The 17266-nt window shown below is 46.1% G+C and overlaps 2 annotated features.

Annotated features, from left to right (window-relative positions):
• Nucleotides 16036–16535: an enhancer, noted in NCBI's record as "H3K4me1 hESC enhancer chr3:194000617-194001116 (GRCh37/hg19 assembly coordinates)". NCBI's record gives its function as "activates a minimal SCP1, AML or CMV promoter by ChIP-STARR-seq in primed H9 embryonic stem cells {active_cell/tissue: H9 hESC(primed)}" and the evidence as "EXISTENCE:reporter gene assay evidence [ECO:0000049][PMID:30033119]".
• Nucleotides 16536–17037: an enhancer, noted in NCBI's record as "H3K4me1 hESC enhancer chr3:194000115-194000616 (GRCh37/hg19 assembly coordinates)". NCBI's record gives its function as "activates a minimal SCP1, AML or CMV promoter by ChIP-STARR-seq in primed H9 embryonic stem cells {active_cell/tissue: H9 hESC(primed)}" and the evidence as "EXISTENCE:reporter gene assay evidence [ECO:0000049][PMID:30033119]".

Raw genomic sequence — 17266 nt, 5'->3', positions numbered from 1 at the left:
GAGCCAAGATCGTCCCATTGCACTCCAGCCTGGGCAACAAAAGTGAGACTCTGTCTCAAAAAAAAAAAAGAAAAAAGAAAGAAAAAAAGAAAATGCCAAATCCATTACTTCTTTGGGAACCTCAGGTGTAACCGCTGGTGTGCTGTGGATGACACAGCATCACTGGGATCTGGTGCCTGGTATGAGCTGTGTGAAGGAGTAGGAGTGTGCTCACCCATCCGCAGGGCCACCGTTGGTCACTGTCCTACATTTTCCCTCCTTGCTCCCAGGGCTAGTCCTGGTTAGGTGTGGGCGGCAATCTGGGGACAGCAGTCAGCTTGCTGTCTGCTCCACTCTGCAACAAACTGCCTTCCTCAGTGCCCACCCCAACGGAGAAGGAACAAATGGTCTTCTGTTTGGATGGAGGAGAGGATTTGTATCTGTTCTCAGCTGCCTGTGGGTTTGTGCTTCCCACCTGCCTGCCCAGGCCTCATCTGATGTATCAGGAGTCCTCTGGGCGGGCACCAATGAGGGCAGCCTTTCAACTAATCCGGGGTGCCACCGAGGAGCTGGAGTGCGAGCTCTTTGGCCCTATGGGAAGCTCCCCTGGGAGGCTGCACTCTTTTCTACCAGTGAATGTTCTTTCACCCACTTCCTGCGGGCGCTGGCCAGATCCTCTGTGAGCAGTGGAGCTTGGCATGGTTCAGCGTGGAGCAGCCCTCCCAGCCACCCAGGGAAATCTCTCCATTCAATTACCTCCTGGCTTCCCACGCGTGGCCCATTAGCCTTGTCTGGGGCTCTTATGCATCAGGATTTATCATTGTGCAGCACCTGCGGGGGAGCTTGCCCCAGGCTTTGAAGGTCCTTCTGCAGAGGAGCTTAGGCAGGAGCAGGGGGCGCACGGAGGAGGTTTCTCTCAGTGGAGGAGCACGTGCTATGATTTCCTAGCCTGCTGTTGACGCTCCATTGCGGTCCTCATCACTTCAGAGCACTTTCATTCTTATTTTATTTTTAAATTTTTAAAAGAGACTGGGTCTCTTTTGTTGCCCAGGCTAGAGTACCGTGCTGTGATCACAGCTCCCTGGAGGCTTAAACTCCTGGGCTCAAGCAATTCTCGTGTCTCAGCCCCCTGAGTCGCTAAGACTACAGGTGGGCATCACCATGCCTGGCTAATTGATTTTATTTTTTAGAGATGAGCTCTTGCCACGTTTCCCAGACTGTGCTTGAACTCCTGGCCTCAAGCAATCCTCCCACTTCAGCCCCAAGAGTTGCTGGGATTACAGGGGGAAGCCACCTTGTCCGGCCCAGAAGCACTTTTCAAAGCCTCTTACGTTGGATGCTGTAGGTTCCATGCGACAATGACACTAATTATGATTTAAGCAGCACCTACTAGAAAGGAGCGTGTCTCATACATTATTGATCACTCTTAAAACTGCCTAGCTCCACGTGGTGGCTCACTCCTGTAATCCCAGCTCTTTGGGAGGCTGAGGCAGGCGGATCACCTGAGGTCAGCAGTTCGAGACCAGCCTGGCCAACATGGCGAAACCCCCTTTCTCTACTAAAAATACAAAAATTAGCCAGGCGTGGAGGCGCGTGCCTGTAATCCCAGCTACTTGGGAGGCTGAGGCAGGAGAATCACTTGAACCTGGGAGACGGAGGTTGCAGTGAGCCGAGATTGCACCACTGCACTCCAGCCTGGGTGACAGAGTGAGACTCCATGTAAAAACAAACAAACAAAGAACCCCAAACTGCCTAGCTCCATTTTGTTCAACAAGAGGCTCAGAGAGTATGTTTGAGGTCACCCACGTGTGTATTTTACGTCTAAAACCTCTCCTGACCCTCGAATGACCCACTCCTGGCTGTAGTCAGTTAGGTCTGTTCAGCCGCAGGAGAGGAGGCTCACAACGGCCAGGCAGGCTCCGATCTTCTCAATGTGGTCCCTCGCTGTGGCGGCTTAGCTTAGATCTTCTCTCAAACTCAGGCCGCTAGAGGGTCCCCACCGGGAAAGGGACACGCCAGGGCGTGGGGCAGGTCTGGAGCGGCCCGGGGCCGGGTGGATCCCGGCGCTCTGCTTTTACCTGGCAGGCGGGAGCGGTCCGGCGGGGCGTGGGCGCAGCGGGGGCCCGGGGCTGGAGGGGAGGGGACGGAGGGGGCAGGAGGGGGAGGGCCGGGAGGAGCCAGCAAGCTGGCGGCGGCGGCGGCCTTGAGCCACTGGCTGGGGCTGGTTGTGGCCGAGGCTGTGGCGAGAGGCGGGGCCGCTGGTGTGGCCAACGAGCCCGTAATGAAGCCCGGCGCCTGAGTCCCCTTTGTTCCCGGGGAACTACTTAAAAAGCCCCCTCCTCAGTCCCCGTGCGGGGCGAATGAGGACAATGGCCGGAGTCGCAGTGGGCAGAGCGGAACGCCCCCTTCAGAGAGGCCTTTCCAGCCGCGCGGCCCGGGGGACTGCAGGCGGGGCGCGCGCTGCCCTTCGAGGCCAAGAGGCCAACGGTGAAACAACAAAGATTTTTTTTTTCTTTCTTTTTTCTTTTTTTTTTAGAAAGAAATCTCGCCATTGCCGGGAATGGGTAAATCACTCAGGCCGCGTGGGTCCTTGGCAGATGGCAGAGGCGGCTTCCCAGTCCCCCACCTGGCACTAGAGGGACGGGGCGCGCACCCAACGGTGGCACGCATCGCCGAATTTTCCTGAATGCCGCTGTGGCACATTCCTGGCCTTTGCAGTTATTAGGAAATGAGAGGATCTTTTTTCCTTCTACTCTCCCCTCCCCCTGCCTTCGTTTTTCTTCCAGGCATGGAATTATCTACTTTAGCAGTTCAAAAGACATTCCATTCCCATGACAAAGACAGAAAGGGGTGATGTTGGCATACTGTAGCCCTCTTTCTCATAGGGAGACTTGAGCAATAAATCATAATGAATGAGAATTTAAAATAGCATTTATTTAACCTTTAATAGTACACCTTGCTGATTTTCAAAGCGTCACCAACAGCTTTGTTTTTCACATTCCCCAGCAAGGGTCCAACTCAAACTTTGAGCAGACAGTAGCGAATTTTATTCCTCTCATATATTCCTAAAAAAAAATGGGTTGAGGGGATTCGTGTTCCGCTCCCTCTCAGCTCTTAAATGTCTTAAGTCTATCACTGAACAAAGACTGACAGAAGATTTTAAAATAGAATGCAAAACTATCATCACAGCAAATATCTACTTACATCTTTTTTTTTTTTTTTTAGATGGAGTCTCGCTTTGTCGCCCAGGCTGGAGTGCAGTGATGCGGTCTCGGCTCACTGAAGCCTCCTCTTTCCGAAGCCTACGCCTCCCAGGTGCAAGCGATTCTCCTGCCTCAACCTCCCAAGTAGCTGGGATTACAGGCGTCCGCCACCACACCCGGCTACTTTTTTTTTTTTTTTTTTGAAACGGAGTCCCGCTCTGTCGACCAGGCTGAATGGAGTGCAGTGCCGCGCTCACTGCAAGCTCCGTCTCCCGGGTTCACGCCATTCTCCTGCCTCAGCCTCCCGAGTAGCTGGCACTACAGGCGCCCGCCACCACGCCTGGCTAATTTTTTTTTTTTTTTTGTATTTTTAGTAGAGACGAGGTTTCAGCATGTTAGCCAGGATGGTCTCGACCTCCTGACCTCGGGATCCGCCCGCCTTGGCCTCCCAAAGTGCTGGGATTACAGGCGTGAGCCACTGTGCCCGGCCCTTTTTTTTTTTTTTAAAGTAGAGACGAGGTTTTGGCATGTTGGCCAGGCCAGTCTCCAACTCCTGACCTCAGGTGATCTGCCCGCCTCAGCCTCCCAAAGTGCTGAGATTACAGGCCTGAGCCACTGTTCACGACCCCACGCCCAGCTCTACTTATATCTTCTATTTAGCACTCTTCTTTCTGGCTTGGAACCCACCTATCTCTTTTCCAGAGGCAATGATATACACAGGTATCCACCTTAGCTCACCCAAGACGGGCTCACACCAGTGAATGCCAGAGTATCTGGAAGTGGTTGATCAAAAACATTCTCAATAATGGGTAATCCAGCAGGAGACACCAACCTCGACAAAAATGAAAGGTCAGGGGGATTTTCCCCCAAAAGAACGGAATATTCTAAAAGTTTGAACACCTTTTAACAGTCTTGGGCTTTCATCCCTGTGTGTGTTGCAATTTACAGTTGTGCTTGAGGATGGGAGAATATCCTAGGTCATTGTTTTCAGTAAGGGTCATTTTTAGCTTCTCAGAATGTGACTCTGGTATGTTCCATTGCACAGGTATTTTTCACAGTTCCCTAGGCCTGACTGGTCTGAGAGTATTTAAGGCTGCCCCAGAGAGGAGCCCCTAGCCAGGCGATTCCCGGCTTGTGCAGGAATCGCAGTGGAAGGACAATGGGCCAATTACTAGCAAAGCCTGCGGTCTCCCTGGGAGAGGTTAAGGAGGAGAGCACATGGCCTTTAAGCTACCGTGTCATCTGTTCTGGGGCTTAATCAAGTTATCATATCACCCCAGTGTCTCCCGGCTTCTATCCATCGATTTGAATGAAGACAAAAATTTGCAGACAAATTTCTAGCAGCAGGAAGTTGGTGCTCTCCTGTGAGGCTGGATGAAAAGCACCTGTAACCTTGCCGGCCTCCATCTAGCTCCTGCTGGGAGCTGCTTCAGGCAGCAGCCTGCTGGATTCAGAGCCTGCCTGTCAGTGGAAGCTGGGCTCGGGGGAGGATGCTAGTATGTGTTTCAAGAGAATGGCCTGGAGCAGGCTCAGCTGTGGCTAGGACGGCACAATGTGGCCAGCTACTGGGGAATGGGTAGGTGGACACTGTCACCTTCCTTTTGATATTGACCTGGAGTCATATTTAAGTTAAGACAGAGCTGGCGTGCAACAATCCTCATGATGGTTTGAAGGGAAACTGTTTCTGTCTCTGGAGGGAGGGTAAGAGTCAAGGAGCTCTCCCACACTGCCATGAAGGCCAGACCTCTACTCCTCTCTGAGCTGGTTTCCTTCTCGGTGAAGCTCAAGCATGTAGTAATTTGCATCTAATCTGCAGGGTGGAAGAGAAAGGAAGTTTGATGTAGTAGATTGAGCATTGTTTGGGAGTCATAAGACATGTTCTAGACCTAGCTCTACAACTTGGGTAAGTGGCTTAGCCGCTTTTTTTCTTGGTTATTTCGCGTATAAGATGGGGATAATGATCCAGGCTGTTGCCTACTTCACAGGTTATGAACCAAGGAGATGAAAGATGCTGATCAGTCAATGAAAAAAATTTAAAAACCACATTACTAGTGCCTCTAAAGCCCTGCCAGCATCTATGCCCTGTGATTCAACATCACAAAGAGGGCTAGGAGAAGAAGAAAGTTATTAATTGGCATTACTATAAAAGCATTCCATCCTGAGAAGAGGTTCATCACTGAATGTGAATTTCATAGTCATTAGCAGAAAAAGCCAGAGGGTATGAGTTCAACACTCTGAGGTGGCTTGTTGATCTGATCAAAATCAACTTTTCTGGAGTCCACAGAAAATTAGACTTTTTGACATTCTGCTGAAAGAGTCATATCCCAAAAAGGCTGGATGGAGACCTGGTCAATAAATCACTTCTTCTCCCGCCCCTGACCTTCACACTGTTTATGTCCTTCAGCCACTATGACAGGGGACATCGACCTTGAACCTAGTTGGCAACTCTAGCCTGTTTCCTCATCTATCAAATGGGGTACATTTTCTCTGCCTCCCTAACTGGTGGGAGCATGGGTAGAGTCATCTGGTCAACAGGTGAGAAAGTGTTTTGTAAAGCAGAAGGTGCTGGATGTGTTCACACTTCACCACACACTCCTAAAGGATCATTATTGTCCATTTAACTGGAACCCAAATGAATACATTGGGGAAATTTTGCAGCCTTGTGGACTTGGCAGTTTGGATCCAATGTCATGGATGATGTGGCTCAAAAGAAGTTTCTTTATGCTGAGTAATCACCTGGCTGCTGGCTCTGAATGAATAGGTATAGGGTACCCTGTTGCTCTCCTGAGAGACTGGCCCAGTGGGCATAAGCAGGGCTTGGACGCTGATGCCCAAACACAGAGAACATCAGACAGCAAACAGCTAAACCAGGGACCAAATGCTCTGCGTTGCTTCTTTTCCCATTAGTTTGCTCCTAAGCACCTGCCCCATCAAAATACCCATGACTCCCCCAAATGTCACAGGGGGCACTGCTGGGATGTTCCCTCTGCCGTTTCCTCTGCCACATCTCTCCACCTTCTCTGCTTATTTAATTTATCTTATCCTGGCTGGGCACAGTGACTCATTCCTGCAATCCCAGCACTTTGAGAGGCCAAGGTGGAAGGATTGCTTGAGCCCAGGAGTTTGAGACCAGCCCGAGCAACACAGCAAGATCCCATCTCTACAAAAATTAAAAAACTTAGCCAGGTGTGGCAGTGCACCTGTAGTCCTAGCTACTAGGGAGGCTAAGGTGGGAGGATCACTTAAGCCAGGAGTTTGAGGCTGCAGTGAGCTATGATTGTGCCACTGCACTCCTGCCACAGCCTGGGTGACAGAGCGAAACCCTGTCTCTCAAAAGAAAAAAAAAGTCTCATCAAGGTTCTACTCATTGTCACCTCCTCTGTGAGGCCACAGTCTTCAAACTCCTAACACAGTCAGTACTGACTATCCCCCCAGCCGAGTGAAGCACTGTCTTGTGCTTTGCCGCGCTGCAGTCTGATTTGTATGAGCATTCACTGTGCACCCACCTCTATCCCTGTTTACGTTGTGAGCTTCTCAAGGGCAGAAACCAGGTATGATCCCTCTTGGTGTCCCAGCACCTAGCACAGCTGCTGGTGTCTAGTAATTTATGATTCAATGTTGGATTGCATTTTTGCCATTCCTTTGTGTGTCAGAGAGTGACCTGAGGGGATTGTGAGAGGGGAAGAAAAGATGAAATCTTTTATTTTTATTTATTTAAATCAATTCCATTTTTGCTTTTGCCTTGAGTCCCAGCCCATTAAAAAATCTGAAAAACTGCTCTGATGTAATTCATAGGATAACCACAGTTTGTCTACTCACCAATTGAGGGACATTTGGGTTGCTTCCAGATTTATTTATTTTTTGAGACAGAGTTTTGCTCTTGTTGCCCAGGTTGAAGTGCAATGGCATGATCTTGGCTCACTGCAACCTCCACCTCCAGGGTTCAAGCGATTCTCCTGCCTCAGCCTCCACAGTAGCTGGGATCACAGGTGCCCGCCACCATGCCCAGCTAATTTTTGTATTTTTAGTAGAGATGGGGTTTCACCATGTTGGCCAGGCTGGTCTCAATCTCCTGAGCTCAAGTGACCCACCCACCTCAGCCTCCCAAAGTGCTGGGATTACAGGTGTGAGCCACCATACCCGGCCTCCAGAGTTTGGCTATTATGAATATGTGGTTATGAATAATGTTGCTGTGAACATTCACATACAAGTCTATGTTTTCATTCTCTTGGGTAAGTACCTAGGAGTGGAATTTCTGGGCTATGTAATGGGTGTATGTTTAACTTTAAGAACACTGCCAAACACTTTTCCAAAGGGGCCATACCGTTTCACATTTCTACTGGCAGTGTTTGAGAGTGTAGTTTTTCTACATCTTCACTAACTCCTTGCGATGACAGTTTAAAAAAAAACCCATTCTAATGGGTATATTGGGTATTTCATTGTAGTTTTGATTTGTATTTCCTTGTTGCCTAGTCGTGTTCATATTGGCTGCCCATATATTTTCTGTGGGAAGTGTCTGTTCAAATATTCTGTCCATTTTTAAAATCTGTATTGTTTGCTTTCTTATTATTCTGCATACAAGCCTTTCACTATATATATATTTTACAGATATTTTCTCCTAGTCTCTGGCTTGTCTTTTCATTTTCTTAAATGTGTCCTTAAGTGAATAGAAGTTTTTAATTTTTATGAAATCTATTTTATTATATTTTTCTTTTATGATTACTGCTGTTTGTGTTAAGTTTAGATAATCTTTGTGTGTCATGTTTAGGTAATCTTTACCAACACAATATCACAAAGATTTTCTGCTGTTTTCTTCCAGAAATTCTTATTGTTTTAGCTCTTATGTTTAGGTCTATTATCTATTTTGATCATTTTGCATATGATGTGAAATAAGGTTTAAAACTTAATTCGTCCCCATAAAGATATCCAGTACCACTTTGTAAAAAGACTATACATTCCTCATTCAATTGTCTTGGCACTTTTGTAAAAAAAATTAATTGAGCATATAAATGCAAGTCTATTCCTGCACTCTCTACTCTGTTCTACTGATCTATAACCATGCCAATGCCATACAATTTTGATTATTGTGGTTTTATAGTAATCCTGAAATCAGGTAATGCAAGCACTTCAAACTTGCTTTTATTTTTTAAGTTATTTTGGCAATTTTTAACTCTTTGCTTTTTCATATTATTTTAGAATCAATTTATCAGTTTCTCCAAAATAGTCTGTTATGATTTTGATGAGGATTGTATTGAGTCTATAGGTCAGTTTTTAGAAAAAACTTTTAACAATATTGCATCTTCAAATCCATGAACATGGTATGCCTCTCCATTTATTTAGGTTTTCTTTAATTTCCCTTAATAATATTTTGTAGTTTTAAGGTTATAGGTCTGGAACATCTTTCTTTAAATTCATTTCTAAGTATTTTTAAGTACTATTTGTAAATGAAGTTTTTAAACCTTTATTTCCCAATTGTTCATTACTTGTATATAGAAATGCAACTGATTTTTAATTAAACTTTTTATTTTGAAATAATTATAAGTTCACAGGAAGTTACAAAGGTAGTACAAAGAGGATCCATGTGCTCTTCACTCAGTTTCCCCCCGTGGTTACATTTTAGATGGTTATAGTATAATATTAAAACTATGAATTTGACACTGGTACAATGTGTGTGTATAGTTCTATGTCATCTTATCATATGTGTATATTTGTAAGCACCTCACAGTCAATATGCAGAATTATTTCATCACCATAAAAATCTTTCTTGTGCTGCCTCTTTATAGTCACGCCTATCCCCGTCTCTCCAACCATCCCTAACCTCTGGCAACCACTAACCTGTTTTCCAACACTATAATTTTGTCATTTCAAGAGTGTTATATAAGTGGAATCATACAGTATGTCACCTTTTGAACTTGGCTTTTTTTTTTCTCATTTAACATAATGACTTTGAGATCAGTTCAAACTATTGCATGTATCAATAATTCATTCCTTTTCATTGCCGAGCAGTTTTCTGTAGTATACATGTTCCACCGTTTATTTCACCATTCACCTGTTGGAGAACATTTTGGTTGTTTCCTGTTGGGGATAATAAAAATGAAGTGGCTTAGCACAATTACGTATAGGTTTTAATGTTGACATACATTTTCATTTCTCTGGGATAAATACCTAGAAGTGCAATTGCTGTGAGGTATGGTAATTTTAAAAGAAACTTTCAAGCTGTTTTCCAGAGTGACTGAATCATTTTACATTACCAACAGCAATGTATAAGAAATCCAGTTTCCCCACATCCTGGCCATGATTTGGTATTGTGGCTATTTTGAAATTTTACTTGATCTAATAGATATGTGGTGATATCTAATTGCGGTCTTTATTTGCATTTCTTTATTGGTTAGTGATGTTTAACATCTTTTCATCTGCTTATTTTTTATTTTTATATACTCTTCATTAAAATTTTTCTTCATATATCTTTTACCACTTGTCTACTTAAATTATTTGATTTTTTTACTCTTCAGTTTTAAGAATTCTTTATATATTCTAGATATGATATGAGTCCTTTTTCAGATATGCTGTTTGCAAATATTTTCTCCCAGTGTATAACTTGTCTTTTCTTCCTCTTAAGAGGGGCTTTTATAGAGCAAAAGTTTGTAGTGTTGATAAAGTCCAATTTATCACTTAAAAGTTTTTTTCTGTCTTTTTTTTTTTTTTGCTTTTGGTCTATGAACTCTTCACTAAACCACAGGTCCTGAAGATTTGTCCTTATGTTATCTTCTGAAAGTTTTATAGTTTTATGTTTTACATTTAAATCTATGGTCCATTTTTAATTAATTTTTGTAACAGGTATGATTTTGGGGTTGAGGTTCCTTTCTTTTTCTTTCTTCTTATTTGCCCAAGAATATCTATTTGCTCCAGTACTGTTTCTTAAAAAGGCTATCCCTTCTCCATTGAATTGCTTTTGCACCTTTGTCAAAAATGAGTTGGCCCTACTTGTGTGGGGCTCATACCTAGAATATCTAGGACCCATTTCTGGGTTCTCTATTCTGTTTCATTGATCTTTGTATCTATTCCTCATGCTGACTTGGTTACTGATGCTATCTAATCAGTCTTAAAATCAGGTAATATGACTTTTCCCAAATTATTTTCCCCAAACTGTTTTACTTATTCAACTCCCTTTGCTTTTTCATATACATTTAGAATAAGCTTGTTGTCTACATCTACAGAAATCTTGCTGAGATTTTGATTGGAATTGTGTTGCACCTGTATATCAGTTTGGGGAAATTTGACATCATTACTATTTTGACTCTTCCTATCCATGACTATCATATGTCAACCATTTACTTAGATTTTTCTTTGATTTCTTTCATTAGCATTTTGATGTTTTCAACACATAAGTGCTGGACATCTTTAGTTATATTTACACCTAAATATTTCATTTTCTTGATTATATGTTATATTAACACCTGAATATTTCATTTTCTTGATTATACATTATATTTTATATTTGTTGTCCATGTATTCATTGCTAGTATATTAAAATAGATGTGATTTGCCTATGTTTGTTGATACGGTTTGGATCTATTTCCCTGCCCAAGTCTCATGTTGAAATGTAATCCCCAGTGCTGCAGGTGGGGCCTGGTAGGAGGTGTTTGGATCATGGGGCTGGCTTCTCATTAATGGTTTGGCACCATCCCCGTTGGTGTTGCCATCGTGATAGTGAGTTGTGAGACCTGGTTGTTTAAAAGGAATGTTATATTTCTTAATAAATCAAAGAATGGAGTGATTTCATGATTAGAAAGGACATGTTGGGCCTGACACAGAGTAAGCCCTAAATGAATGCTCAGGGATGATGAATCTTCTCCCCAGTATCCCACTTTGCTAGATTACCCTTAGTGATAGATTGTTCACTCTCTCTTAAATTCTGGGCATTTGAAATATTTTCCTCTCATGTGCTCAAAACACTTTCATTTCAGCTTCCACTCTGCAGTCCCAGTGTCTGTCCCTAGGGCTACACAGAATGAGCCCGATTCCCCTTCCCTACGAATATCCCTGAACTCTCAAATAGGGGAAGCAGCCTCAGCTTCCCCAGCCAGTGTTTGTAAGAGTGAGATTTCTAGTCCTCTCATGATCCTAGTCTCTTTCCCTTGAGCAGAATTCTGTACCTGCACAGTTCTCTCCAGATGTGATGTCCAGAAAGGTCTCAGCACCCTGGGTGGAGCCTGGGGGACCCCCTTCTTTCCGGTAGGCAGCTTAAGCTCCCATTGGCTCTTCCGGCAGCCAGGTTGCAAAGGCTTATATTAAGCTGGTGGCTGGTGAGCACCCCTGGGCCCTTTTTATCTTTCCCTACATAAATCTGCACACCAGCTTTCTGCAGGTGGCTTCCCATAGCTGCCTTCTAAGGGGAGCTACATCAAACCTCAAGGAATTTACCACCATGAAAGCCTGTCTTGCCCCGAGACCTTCCTCACCTGCAAAGCATAAGCTTGGGCAGGGCTTGGAACCACATGCCCTAAGGCCCTTAAATCTGCCTGTATCTCTGCTCTATAATTTTCAGAAAAATTAACTGCATTATGGGATGGCTTATATTCAAGTCAGGGTCCATACAGCCAGCAGAGGGCAAAAATGGTGAATGCCGTATGGAATCTTATGGCTTGCAAAACAGTTTCTATATCACCTCCTTGGATCCACAGAATAACTAGTAAACTGTGTGAGGCAGGTAGGGAGGGTGGATCATTTCTATTTGACAGGTAAGGAAAGAGAGGTTGCAGGGAGGCTGCAGGCTGCTACGACTAAAAACAAAGAAGAGTCAAAAGTGACAGAACACCACACTCTGTTTATCACAAAACACTGCTTAGCATCTCAGGGCTCTAGGCTTCTATTTGAATTGTCTCAACCATCCTCTGGGTAGAAAGTTTTTTTCTCAGGGCATTTTTGGATCCAGATGATCTGAGCTAATCCCCCTGTCCCCTCACCCCCAGCCCCAAGGAGTGGGCTAGGAGTACAGCTGTGCATTTTAACGAGGGAGACGGGAGTCTCCAGGCTGCTTTCCAAGAAATTGCTTCTAAAATCATTTGCCTCCAGCCCCAGACAAAAGCTCAGGTATGGAAGCTTGGCTGCTCCTGACCTTTTACATCCCCAGAACCAAGCTGCAGGGAGGAGGGGACGGCCGCACAAAAGGGTCTGGGGAGTGACCCGGCCTGCCTCAGCTACCTGCTGTTTGCCACAATGGGACCCGAGTCCCGGGCTGCCTCTGGAGGCAGGAGAAAAGGGCCGAGATAATGACGGGCTCAGCTACCGCTGCTCTCTTCAGAGAAAGGAGAAGAGGGAGGAGGCAAAACCTCCCGGATAATAAAGAAGTAACAAATGAGGAATAAAAGCTTATGGAAGACATCTTAACCCAGGGATGAAAAAATGTCAACATCTGTGAGGCTTTCTGCACCAGCAGACCCGGTCCTAATGAAAACCCTCGAAAAGCCATTCATCGGAGCAGAGGCAAAAAGGCTACATTTTTCTATGGGGCATCGAGGGCTCGAGGAGGCCACCGTTTCCCTTTCGGATGCTGCTGAACCAAGCACTAATGTTCATCTCCAGCTTTATTAAGGAACCCGGGCAGGAGGAGAATGGAGTGCCGGGACCATCGTTATCCCAAAGTCTGTGAGGTGGGTGGATTTAGGAGCAAGCTAGATGTGTGCACATTGAGGCAAGGAAGAAAAGCCAGAGGAATCAGAGAAAACACTGTTGAACAAGGGTCTCTTTTGACGGGGGCCTTTAGGAAGGACGCAGCTCCAGGAAAAGTAATCCTCTTAGCACCGACTTATGTGTGTGTACAAAACAGGGAAATCAAATCTGAATGTCCTCATTGCATTTGCTAAAATACCTAATGAAAACACAAAGATTCCTTTTTCTGATCTTCACCTTTCATTCAGAAGCCGGAGAGTGGCAGATGTTTGCTTATAAGGCTGTTTTTTTAAAAAATTCAAACTGGGAGTTTGGGGTGGGAGAGGAGCTGACCCTACTCTCTTTCCAAGGGGTGTGGGTTGCAGAACTTTGAGCCTTTGTATCTCCCCCTGGGGTTTTTTACACCCTCCTGCCTTGTTGCCTTTGAGGCAGTACATGTGGTTTTATTTCTTGAGTTTGTGCTCTGTGTTCACCGTTGGAATGTCTCTCCGGAGGCCTCAGTGAAAGAAATCTCAAATCCTGGCCAACAAATGCAGCTTCCTGAAAAGAGTGGGGAAGTTGGTATAAAAAGAAATGCACTCCCAAATTAGTGGCTGTTCTGCAGTTGGGGATCACTGTGCCCTGGCCAGGGAGCACCAGGATAGCCCTCACCCATACCCACATACTTACACACACCCAACATACACCCACACACCTACACCCAGGCATACACTCCCCCAACTTATCCACACACGCGCATCACACACTCCCCCAACTTATCCACACACGCGCATCACACATCTACGCCCAGGCATACACTCCCCCTACTTATCCACACACGCACATAACAGTCCACACCACTCACCCTCCTGTATACACACACACACACACACACGTGTCCTTCCAGTTATAGATACACCTCTCCGGCCAATATACTCGACAGCACACGCATCTGCTTACTCCCAGTCTGAATGGTCGTACTTAGTCTTATGGGCAGGCATCCTCCTTCCCCATCCCTGTAACATACCGGGCTTTCGATCGCATGTGTCAGTTATAACTTGGCTTTAAAATGAAACAAGATGCAAGTGAGGCTGAGTCAAACGTTTGGGGGATTGCCAAGCAGATTTCACCTAAGCTAAAATAGGAGGGTGCACTTTTATTTTTCCTTTCCTGTGTTACAGGGCTACTTTAAATTCAAAACTATTGTTTGCTATTGGGTTACAAAAGGAAGAGAAGTGGAGGAGGCAGCCGTAGAAAGGCTGATTATGGCTCTGGGTCCAGTGTGAGCTGCCCATCTGTGGGCTGGCCCTGTGGTCCTAGGCTGCCAGGGCAGGTAGTGAGATCCCAGGTCCTCAAAGCAGTGGCCCAAGCATCCTCTATCATCATCAGTTGGAGGGAATTCCTATGCAAGGTGTGCAGTGGAGCTGAATGAGCTCTGATATCTTTTGCAAACTTAACAATAATAATATTGAGTGCTAATTATGTGCTAGTCACTACTCTAAGGGTCTTAAATGGATTCTCTAATTTTCCCAGCTCTATGATATGAAATCTCTCATTATGCACATTTTGTAGGTAAGGAAACAAGCCTAGAGTGGCTGGGACATAGGTAGTAGTGACAGAGCCCGTACTGAAACCCAGATGTACCCAACACCAAGCTTAGGTGATTTACCTCGCACTGCAAGACCTCTTAGGAGAACCTGATGTTAAGTGATTTTCTGTTCCCTTCTTTCCTTGGTCAGTAGGAGAGGATTGGGCTTACACCCTTCCTGGTTCATCCCCTAATGCCCTGGCATTGGTCCTCCCTATTCCTTTGGAATAAAGACGGAGCCTGGGAACATCTCTGGTTGGCTTGTCCCTGGGAAGGGTTCCATGTCCAGCCGCCAGACCCCAGATCCACTGAGCGGGTGGAACCTTGTTCCTTGCTGCAGCAGGAGGCACTCAAGTCAGAGGCCCCAGCCATGTGCTTATAGAACCCTTTCGGCAGTCACTCTAAGGCTTGGGGATCATTGGGGAGAATGGCAGCCCTCCAGATGTGTGCATCCATCTGAGAAGCACACCTCCTCAATCTCCATCCCTCATCTCCAGGCCCCCTCTACTGAGAGGAGAACACAGCCCACCTAGACGAAGTGCAGCAGACACCTCTGGTCCTTTTCTCTTCACCATGCCTAATGTACCAGGGATCGGGGCGTCATAACCACAGACCTGGAACCTTGAGAGTCACTGGATCAAACTCCTTGTGGTGGCTCTGAAGATGTGTCTACAAATTCATTGACACTACACCCCTCAAGAGGCGGAGCTTAATTATCCTCTTCTTGAGTGTGGACTGGAGTTGGTGACTAGTCCACTAGAGACTAGAATATGGCAGAAATGATGGATGTCACTTGGAAATAGTCACTTGGATAATTCCGAAATTAGATTATGGAAAGGCAGTAGCTTCTGTCTTGGGTTCTCCATCTGTCTCTGTCTCTGTCTCTGTCTCTGTCTCTGTCTCTGTCTCTTTCATCACTTGCTCTGGGGAAAGCCAGTTTCCATGTCATGAGGCAACCTAGGGGGAGGCCTCTGTCATAAGAAACTGAGGCCTGCCAACAACCACATGCAGGAGCTTGGAAATGGATCTTCTGAGTCTGCCAACAGCCATGCGTGTGATCCTGGAAGCTGATCTTCCCCCACTGTAACCTCGGGCTGACTGTGGCCCCAGAGCACATCTTGACTGCAGCCTCATAAGAGATCTTGTGCCAGAACCACCCAACTCAGCCACTCCCAGATTCCTAACCCCAAGAAACTGTGAGATGGTAGATGTTTGTCGCTTTAAGCTGCCGCATTTGGGGGCCATCGTGATGCAGCAACAGATCACTCATGCCCTCCTGTACTATGCAGTTGGGAGAAGCGAGGGCCTGCTGGGGAAAGTCACTTCCCAATTTCACAAAGGACAAGTGAGTGCTTGAAATTAACTCAAATATTTTGACTTCTTGTCTAGTGCTCTTTCCACTACATCAGACTTCCTCTCACTCCCATTTCCCACAAATAAACCAGAAGAATTGAATTTGGCAAACCTCTGCCTGCTTGTGAGCGCAGATTTTTCTGGTATGAGCGGGATGGACATAGCAGGGGACGCAGTGATGACAGAGAATTGGTGGGGACAGAGGGCCATTTAAGGGGCTGTTTGAGAGTATAACAACCTCCACATCTGCCCTTCTCCCCAGGGCTCGCTTTTTGGCTGATATGGGAAGTTCAACCCACGCGTATGAATTCTGAATTTAATACAGAACTTACCACCCAGAAATGACTGGGTGAAGTAAGTGTAATTTGCCCGTGTTTATTTTTTTTATTATGAACTTAGGCAAAGTTTATGGAAAAAAGGAACCCGATGATCACGAAATGTAGCTATTTACATCTCTCCAAGCTCTCTTTGTGAGTGTTCTTTGCACAGCTGTAATGGCCTGTGCAGACTCCGTAGTGTTTGCCTTCCTCCCTCAGCAAGTGTTCTGTTGTGCCCCAGGCAGGCCCTGTGCGGCTGGGAGCTCAGAGCCCACTGTGTCTGGCTCTCCCAGACCACCCTCCTGTTCACTCCATCCTGTGCTGCTGTCCATTCCTGCTTCTCTGATCCCTTGGCTCTGCCCCAGCTCCTCTCCCACCCAAGCCTTCTCGCCTGGCTCACTCGTTGGAGCACAGCTGCATGCTCAGGCGTAGCATCTTGACACTCCCTCAGCTCCATGTTGGGCTTGTCCCCGGATCCTCATGCTGCAGAGGCAGTAGGCACACACTCCTGTGCTCCTCTGAGCCCTGGAGGCTGCACAGCCTCGTTGTTGATGCGGGGCCCGAGATGTCACTGCTTGTGACAATTTAACTTCCCTGGTGACTCAGGCCACCCTGGTTCTTAGCGTATCTTCCTCTGGTCTCTCCCACCCTGCCTGAATCACAGAAGCAGAGGGCTTGTTAGAATGCGGGTGCCGGGCCCTTACCCAGTCCTTCTGAATCTGGAGAAGGGGCTGGGAATCTGCATTTTTACAACCTCCCCGGGTAATGCTGGTACCCACTACAATGGGAGAATGACGGCTCTGCTGTTGCCCCTTGTTTACGACTTGGAGCTTTGAAAAACGTCTTGATTGGCCTGGTGTTTTAGAAAATCTTGGAGAGACTGTCAAGAGCAACCTCGATTCTCTGAGCCTAAGCCCTCAGAAGGACTGACCTTGCCTTCACCTCCATTTTCTCCTGGCCACCTGCCTCCTTCTCTTCCCATGACCTCTTTTCACCTACGGCAACAGCAGGTCAGAAAAAGCCAGGACGTCATTCTCATTGGTCTGCTCAGCTTCCCTGGAAGCCCAGGGAATGGTTTCTGAGGGAGGCACTGGCAATTATTGGCCAAAATGAGGGCTAAGAATTTCCAATTGGCCTCTAAGAGTTGGTTTTATGTGTACTGTGCATGTAGGATG

This window comes from Homo sapiens, chromosome 3, assembly GCF_000001405.40.
Source record: "Homo sapiens chromosome 3, GRCh38.p14 Primary Assembly".
Lineage (NCBI taxonomy): Eukaryota > Metazoa > Chordata > Mammalia > Primates > Hominidae > Homo > Homo sapiens.
The sequence above is the reverse complement of the archived record's forward strand: the minus strand, read 5'-3'. Positions and strand labels throughout refer to the sequence as shown.